Source organism: Homo sapiens, chromosome 6 (genome assembly GCF_000001405.40).
Source record: "Homo sapiens chromosome 6, GRCh38.p14 Primary Assembly".
Classification (NCBI taxonomy): domain Eukaryota; kingdom Metazoa; phylum Chordata; class Mammalia; order Primates; family Hominidae; genus Homo; species Homo sapiens.
The window spans coordinates 94,820,688-94,829,910 of record NC_000006.12 but is presented as its reverse complement, the minus strand read 5'-3'; the positions used below and the strand labels follow the sequence as shown (position 1 = coordinate 94,829,910).

Genomic DNA, 9,223 nt, shown 5'->3' with positions numbered 1-9,223 from the left:
TGTTGGACATTTGGGTTGGTTCCAAGTCTTTGCTATTGTGAATAATGCCGCAATAAACATACGTGTGCATGTGTCTTTATAGCAGCATGATTTATAGTCCTTTGGGTATATACCCAGTAGTGGGATGGCTGGGTCAAATGGTATTTCCAGTTCCAGATCCCTGAGGAATCGCCACACTGACTTCCACAATGGTTGAACTAGTTTACAGTCCCACCAACAGTGTAAAAGTGTTCCTATTTCTCCACAACCTCTGCAGCACCTGTTGTTTCCTGACTTTTTAATGATTGCCATTCTAACTGGTGTGAGATGGTATCTCATTGTGGTTTTGATTTGCATTTCTCTGATGGCCAGTGATGATGAGCATTTTTTCATGTGTTTTTTGGCTGCATAAATGTCTTCTTTTGAGAAGTGTCTGTTGATGTCCTTCACCCACTTTTTGATGGGGTTGTTTGTTTTTTTCTTGTAAATTTGTTTGAGTTCATTGTAGATTCTGGATATTAGCCCTTTGTCAGATGAGTAGGTTGCGAAAATTTTCTCCCATTTTGTATGTTGCCTGTTCACTCTGATGGTAGTTTCTTTTGCTGTGCAGAAGCTCTTTAGTTTAATTAGATCCCATTTGTCAATTTTGTCTTTTGTTGCAATTGATTTTGGTGTTTTAGACATGAAGTCCTTGCCCATGCCTATGTCCTGAATGGTAATGCCTAGGTTTTCTTCTAGGGTTTTTATAGTTTTAGGTCTAACGTTTAAGTCTTTAATCCATCTTGAATTGATTTTTGTGTAAGGTGTAAGGAAGGGATCCAGTTTCAGCTTTCTACATATGGCTAGCCAGTTTTCCCAGCACCATTTATTAAATAGGGAATCCTTTCCCCATTGCTTGTTTTTCTCAGGTTTCTCAAAGATCAGATAGTTGTAGATATGCGGCATTATTTCTGAGGGCTCTGTTATGTTCCATTGATCTATATCTCTGTTTTGGTACCAGTACCATGCTGTTTTGGTGACTGTAGCCTTGTAGTATAGTTTGAAGTCAGGTAGTGTGATGCCTCCAACTTTGTTCTTTTGGCTTAGGATTGACTTGGCGATGCAGGCTCTTTTTTGGTTCCATATGAACTTTAAAGTAGTTTTTTCCAATTCTGTGAAGAAAGTCATTGGTAGCTTGATGGGGATGGCATTGAATCTATAAATTACCTTGGGCAGTATGGCCATTTTCACGATATTGATTCTTCCTACCCATGAGCATGGAATGTTCTTCCATTTGTTTGTATCCTCTTTTATTTCATTGAGCACTGGTTTGTAATTCTCCTTGAAGAGGTCCTTCACGTCCCTTGTAAGTTGGATTCCTAAGTATTTTATTCTCTTTGAAGCAATTGTGAATGGCAGTTCACTCATGATTTGGCTCTCTGTTTGTCTGTTATTGGTGTATAAGAATGCTTGTGATTTTTGTACATTGATTTTGTATCCTGAGACTTTGCTGAAGTTGCTTATCAGCTTAAGGAGATTTTGGGCTGAGACAATGGGGTTTTCTAGATATACAATCATGTCATCTGCAAACAGGGACAATTTGACTTCCTCTTTTCCTAATTGATACCCTTTATTTCCTTCTGCTGCCTAATTGCCCTGGCCAGAACTTCCAACACTATGTTGCATAGGAGTGGTGAGAGAGGGCATCCCTGTCTTGTGCCAGTTTTCAAAGGGAATGCTTCCAGCTTTTGCCCATTCAGTATGATATTGGCTGTGGGTTTGTCATAGATAGCTCCTATTATTTTGAGATACGTCCCATCAATACCTAATTTATTGAGAGTTTTTAGCATGTAGGGTTGTTGAATTTTGTCAAAGGCCTTTTCTGCATCTATTGAGATAATCATGTGGTTTTTGTCTTTGGTTCTGTTTATATGCTGGATTACATTTATTGATTTGCATATATTGAACCAGCCTTGCATCCCAGGGATGAAGCCCACTTGATCATGGTGGATAAGCTTTTTTATGTGCTGCTGGATTCAGTTTGCCAGTATTTTATTGAGGATTTTTGCATCAATGTTCATCAAGGATATTGGTCTAAAATTCTCTTTTTTGGTTGTGTCTCTGCCTGGCTTTGGCATCAGGATGATGCTGGCCTCATAAAATGAGTTAGGGAGGATTCCCTCTTTTTCTATTGATTGGAATAATTTCAGAAGGAATGGTACCAGTTCCTCCTTGTACCTCTGGTAGAATTCGGCTGTGAATCCATCTGGTCCTGGACTCTTTTTGGTTGTTAAGCTATTGATTATTGCCACAATTTCAGCTCCTGTTATTGGTCTATTCAGAGATTCAATTTCTTCCTGGTTTAGACTTGGGAGAGTGTATGTGTTGAGGAATTTATCCATTTCTTCTAGATTTTCTAGTTTATTTGCATAGAGGTGTTTGTAGTATTCTCTGATGGTAGTTTGTATTTTTGTGGGATCGGTGGTGATATCCCCTTTATCATTTTTTATTGCGTCTGTTTGATTGTTCTCTCTTTTTCTTTATTAGTCTTGCTAGCGGTCTATCAATTTTGTTGATCCTTTCAAAAAACCAGCTCCTGGATTCATTAATTTTTTGAAGGGTTTTTTGTGTCTCTATTTCCTTCAGTTCTGCTCTGATTTTAGTTATTTCTTGCCTTCTGCTAGCTTTTGAATGTGTTTGCTCTTGCTTTTCTAGTTCTTTTAATTGTGATGTTAGGGTGTCAATTTTAGATATTTCCTGCTTTCTCTTGTGGGCATTTAGTGCTATAAATTTCCCTCTACACACTGCTTTGAATGTGTCCCAGAGATTCTGGTATGTTGTGTCTTTGTTCTCGCTGGTTTCAAAGAACATCTTTATTTCTGCCTTCATTTCATTATGTACCCAGTAGTCATTCAGGAGCAGGTTGTTCAGTTTCCATGTAGTTGAGTGGTTTTGAGTGAGTTTCTTAATCCTGAGTTCTAGTTTGATTGCACTGTGGTCTGAGAGACAGTTTGTTATAATTTCTGTTCTTTTATATTTGCTGAGGAGAGCTTTACTTCCAAGTATGTGGTCAATTTTGGAATAGGTGTGGTGTGGTGCTGAAAAGAATGTATATTCTGTTGATTTCGGGTGGAGAGTTCTGTAGATGTCTATTAGGTCTGCTTGGTGCAGAGCTGAGTTCAATTCCTGGGTATCCTTGTTAACTTTCTGTCTCGTTGATCTGTCTAATGTTGACAGTGGGGTGTTAAAGTCTCCCATTATTATTGTGTGGGAGTCCAAGTCTCTTTGTAGGTCACTCAGGACTTGCTTTATGAATCTGGGTGCTCCTGTATTGGGTACATATATATTTAGGATAGTTAGCTCTTCTTGTTGAATTGATGCCTTTACCATTATGTAATGGCCTTCTTTGTCTCTTTTGATCTTTGTTGGTTTAAAGTCTGTTTTATCAGAGACTAGGATTGCAACCCCTGCCTTTTTTTGTTTTCCAGTTGCTTGGTAGTTCTTCCTCCATCCTTTTATTTTGAGCCTATGTGTGTCTCTGCATGTGAGATGGGTTTCCTGAATACAGCACACTGATGGGTCTTGATTCTTTATCTAATTTGCCAGTCTGTGTCTTTTAATTGGAGCATTTAGCCCATTTACATTTAAAGTTAATATTGTTAAGTGTGAATTTGATCCTGTCATTATGATGTTAGCTGGTTATTTTGCTCGTTAGTTGGTGCAGTTTCTTCCTAGCCTGGATGGTCTTTACATTTTGGCATGATTTTGCAGCAGCTGATACCGGTTGTTCCTTTCCATGTTTAGTGCTTCCTTCAGGAGCTCTTTTATGGCAGGCCTGGTGGTGACAAAATCTCTCAGCATTTGCTTGTCTGTAAAGTATTTTATTTCTTCTTCACTTATGAAGCTTAGTTTGGCTGGATATGAAATTCTGGGTTGAAAATTCTTTTCTTTAAGAATGTTGAATATTGGCCCCCACTGTCTTCTGGCTTGTAGAGTTTCTGCCAAGAGATCAGCTGTTAGTCTGATGGGCTTCCCTTTGTGGGTAACCCGACCTTTCTCTCTGGCTGCCCTTAACATTTTTTCCTTCATTTCAACTTTGGTGAATCTGACAATTATGTGTCTTGGAGTTGTTTTTCTCGAGGAGTATCTTTGTGGCGTTCTCTGTATTTCCTGAATCTGAATGTTGGCCTGCCTTGCTAGATTGGGGAAGTTCTCCTGGATAATATCCTGCAGAGTGTTTTCCAACTTGGTTCCATTCTCCCCGTCACTTTCAGGTACACCAATCAGACGTAGATTTGGTCTTTTCACATAGTCCCATATTTCTTGGAGGCTTTGCTCATTTCTTTTTATTCTTTTATCTCTAAACTTCCCTTCTCGCTTCATTTCATTCATTTCATCTTCCATCACTGATACCCTTTCTTCCAGTTGATCACATCAGCTCCTGAGGCTTCTGCATTCTTCACGTAGTTCTCGAGTCTTGGCTTTCAGCTCCATCAGCTCCTTTAAGCACTTCTCTGTATTGGTTATTCTAGTTATACATTCATCTAAATTTGTTTCAAAGTTTTCAACTTCTTTGCCTTTGGTTTGAGTTTCCTCCGGTAGCTCGGAGTAGTTTGATCGTCTGAAGCCTTCTTGTCTCAACTCGTCAAAGTCATTCTCCGTCTAGCTTTGTTCCATTGCTGGTGAGGAACTGCATTCCTTTGGAGGAGGAGAGGCGCTCTGCTTTTTAGAGTTTCCAGTTTTTCTGCTCTGTTTTTTCCCCATCTTTGTGGTTTTATCTACTTTTGGTCTTTGATGATGGTGATGTACAGATGCGTTTTTGTTGTGGATGTCCTTTCTGTTTGTTAGTTTTCCTTCTAACAGACAGGACCCTCAGCTGCAGGTCTGTTGGAGTTCGCTAGAGGTCCACTCCAGACCCTGTTTGCCTGGGTATCTGCAGCGGTGTCTGCAGAACCACGGATTTTCGTCATCCGCGAATGCTGCTGTCTGATCATTCCTCTTGAAGTTTTGTCTCAGAGGAGTACCCGGCTGTGTGAGGTGTCAGTGTGCCCCTGCTCGGGGGTGCCTCCCAGTTAGGCTGCTTGGGGGTCAGGGACCCACTTGAGGAGGCAGTCTGCCCATTCTCAAATCTCCAGCTGCGTGCTGGGAGAACCACTGCTCTCTTCAAAGCTGTCAGGCAGGGACATTTAAGTCTGCAGAGGTTACTGCTGTCTTTTTGTTTGTCTGTGCCCTGCCCCCAGAGTGGAGCCTACAGAGGCAGGCAGGCCTCCTTGAGCTGTGGTGAACTCCACCCAGTTGGAGCTTCTTGGCTGCTTGGTTTACCTAATCAAGCCTGGGCAATGGCGGGCGCCCCTCCCCCAGCCTCGCTGCCGCCTTGCAGTTTGATCTCAGACTGCTGTGCTAGCAATCAGCGAGACTCTGTGGGGGTAGGACCCTCTGAGCCACGTGCCGGATATAATCTCGTGGTGCGCCGTTTTTTTAAGCCGTTCGGAAAAGCACAGTATTCGGGTGGGAGTGACCCGATTTTCCAGGTGCGTCTGTCACCCCTTTCTTTCACTCAGAAAGGGAACTCCCTGACCCCTTGCGCTTCCCAAGTGAGGCAATGCCTCGCCCTGCTTCGGCTCGCGCACGGTGCGCGCACCCACTGACCTTCGCCCACTGTCTGCCACTCCCAAGTGAGATGAACCCGGTACCTCAGATGGAAATGCAGAAATCACCTGTCTTCTGCGTCGCTCACGCTGGGAGCTGTAGACTGGAGCTGTTCCTATTCGGCCATCTTGGCTCCTCTCAGGTCTGGTTGTTGTTTAGTGGCATCTAGTTTTGCTTTTAATTTGAATTTTCTTGAACTTTAACAATGGTGTGAGTCTTTTCTGCAGATTTATTGGTAATTCGGGTTGTTTAAATAAAATTCCATTTAAAAATCAGTGTTGTGATTCTTCCCCTTCATTTATTTCCCAGATGATAAAATTCAGGCCAAGAGAAGCAAAGACAGCAAAGACTGACATAAAAAAGAAACAACAAAAACAACTCTTGTTAATGATGTAGAATTAATCTGAATTCTCCAAAAACCTGCCTCTTTTGGAGGTAAGTGGGGTTCTAGGTTTGAATCTGTTTTCTGCCACTTTCCTGTGTAACCTTCAGTAAGACAATGCTCAAGCCTGTTCCCTTTTCTAGAAAATGAAATTAGGAAGGAATACCCCCATAAAGAGTTGAAAGAAGAAAATGCCTTTGTCTTTTTCTTATGATTAATTATTCTTTGTCTTATGTTTATGAGCCTTTTATCAGCTATACATGTTGCTAATATTTTTCACCCTTTTCACTCGTTTAGCAATCATAAAAATAGGCCGGGTGTGGTGGTTCACGCCTGTAATACCAGAAGTTTGGGAGGCCAAGACGGGTGGATCATGAGGTCAGGAGTTCAAGACCAGCCTGGCCAAGATGCTGAAACCCCGTCTCTACTAAAAATACAAAAATTAGCCAGGCGTGGTGGCATGTGCCTGTAATCACAGCTACTCAGGAGGCTGAGGCAGGAGAATTGCCCGAGCCTGGGCGGCAGAGGTTGCAGTAAGCTGAAATCATGCCATTGCACACCAGCCTGGGCAACAGAGCAAGACTCTGTCTCAGGAAAAAATAAAAAATAAAAAATTATATATATATATATATATATATATATATATATATATGTTTAATAGTATATGTAGAAAGTTTTACTTTGCTGTTTAGAATTATGATTTGGGGATATAAGGTAGACATCAAGTTATAGTTTCCATATCCAGACAACAAATTAAACATCATTTATTAAAATTGATCAGTAGTTTAGTTTTCACTAATGTCCTTACATAACATTAACAGCTACGAAAGTGTGGCAATGTTATTTTACCTAAAAAGTATATGTCAGTATCTGAAATGGTGGGTTACATATTAAATTAAACACTATATACTTGCTAATAAACCATATCTGAAAAATTTGACAACATATAGAACTATTCTTCATGTAATTTCAGTCATTTATTGAACATCTACTTGATATCCAGGCTACAGACTCTAAATACCTTGCCAGAATTACCAGAATCAACCTGGAACTTCATTAAAGAGAAACAGAAACATAATTTTTATGCTGCTTTCCTCTTCCCCAGTGTCACAAATACTCCACATGTACTACAATTTTCTGCTGAAACTCCAACTACTTTTTTGAATTTTAAGAAATGAAACTGCAAATTTAGAGATAGCATAAGATATATATATATATCTTATGTATGTATATATATAATATACACATACAACATACATACATACATAAAATACATATATACACACATATATCTTATGTATGTGTGTGTATATATATATGTGCCAAATCTATGTAAGCTAAGGATTTCATAATGTGAAGGTTGAAGAGTAAGAGTCTAACCAAAAGGGACATGTTTTCTTTTCCTTTTTGATACAAATAGAATAATAAATGATAGGAAGAAAGAGAGAGAAGGAGAGAGAGAGAGAGGGAGAGAGAGAGAGAGAAGGAGAGAGAGAAGGGTCGAAAGAGAAAGAGGGAGAAGGAGAGAGAGAGAGGGAGAGAGAGAGAGAAGGAGAGAGAGAAGGGTAGAAAGAGAAAGAGGGAGAAAGAGAGGGAGGCAAAGAAGGGGGGAAAGAGGGGGGAAGGAAACTAAGTTCTCTAGGTAGGTGAAGTGTTTTATTACAGAATGCTACTTGAGACAGTCTGCAGTCTGTTTGATAACATTGGTGAAGTTTTCAGTGCTGTGTTTAGCAAGTAAAGAAATAGACACTCAAAATCTTAGTATATATGCCCAATATGCACTCTATTAAGAAAGATTGTAATAACGGTGATATTACCCAGTGTCAATACACACACATACATACATACACGCACTCAGACTGGGATGGATGGGGTAAGAATTCCAATACAATCTTTAGTGAATTGTAACGTTTAACTATAATGTGGTGAGCTACAATACAGTTAAGTGGTGGCTTAATGTGAAGAGCAAGATACTTGCCATTATAATCACTTGGATTTTAACAATAATTTCATTTTTAGGGAAAATAATTGTGATTTTACTATTTCATACAGTTACACAAATGGTCATCGGGAAGTATCTGGAGATATGGCTATGTTCATTATCTAGATTTCACTGAACCAAACATACAATTGTATATTTCAATTATGTATAATTATGTGTTAATTATAGCTCAAAAGCTGCAGGGGAAAGCAATAAACCATATCTGAAAAATCTGACAACATATAGAACTATTTTTCATGTAATTTCGGTCCTTTATTGAACATCTACTTGATATAAAGACTAGAGACACTAAATAGCTTGCCAGAATCACCACAGAAATCAGCAATAGAGTATTTCTGCCTCTATGGAGAATATAGAACTGTGCTAGCTTCCTCAAAATGTATGTCCACAAATGGTGTCAATTCCATTCCATTAATCAGTTTCTTAAAATTCTTTAGTGGGAGTAAGTCAGAGTTCTAGAGTGTTGATATTTTTGTTGTTTGGGAATGTCTGTTTGCCTTAACTGATTGCAGTATATTTCAGGACTGATTTTTTTTTAATTTCTACTATATGAAATTTTAATTCCTAGAATATGAAAACAGTTTTTAAACAAAATCTTAATATGCACAAGAAATAAAACAAAAGATATAATTGGATTATCTATGACAGTTTTCTAGCAATATTTGAAAAATCTGGAATCTGGCTTATCTTATTCAATGTTATTCAGTTTGCCTCAGTTCCCTCTTACCTGCTTTCAGTTATCACCCTAACATTTAAGATCACAGGTGACATAAATAGGACTTGTGTATCAATATTTTTTGTTTTAGTTTTCAAATTCAGTGGCCTAAAGTTCTGCAAATATAATGTTTTTGTTCCTTCTCAGGTAACTGGAAGCCATGTATATACTTTTCTAAAAATCATACATTTGGTCATTCTTTGATTGAATTCATAATCAAATAATGTGTCTAATATCTTAGATAAAGACATTTGTTAAGTGCTTAGGACTTGAAGGATAAAGAGAATTGGACCTTTATGAGCATAAAAATGTATAGTTGATTTTTTTTGGTTGATGTTACATGGTCTGTTTTATAAACAAAAATTTTAAAATGACATTTTTGAAAAAGTGGGTAGGAATAAGTAGATAATTAAATCATGCTCACTTTTTTTCCCCAGGAATTTATAATCTAGAGAGGAAAATAGGCACCTGAGCAACATTTACAGGATAATGTAACAAATGCTCAAATGCAGATATG

General features: G+C 38.8%; 1 annotated feature.

The window, feature by feature from the left end:
• Positions 4,783 to 5,381: an enhancer, noted in NCBI's record as "NANOG-H3K27ac-H3K4me1 hESC enhancer chr6:95534248-95534846 (GRCh37/hg19 assembly coordinates)". NCBI's record gives its function as "activates a minimal SCP1, AML or CMV promoter by ChIP-STARR-seq in primed H9 embryonic stem cells {active_cell/tissue: H9 hESC(primed)}" and the evidence as "EXISTENCE:reporter gene assay evidence [ECO:0000049][PMID:30033119]".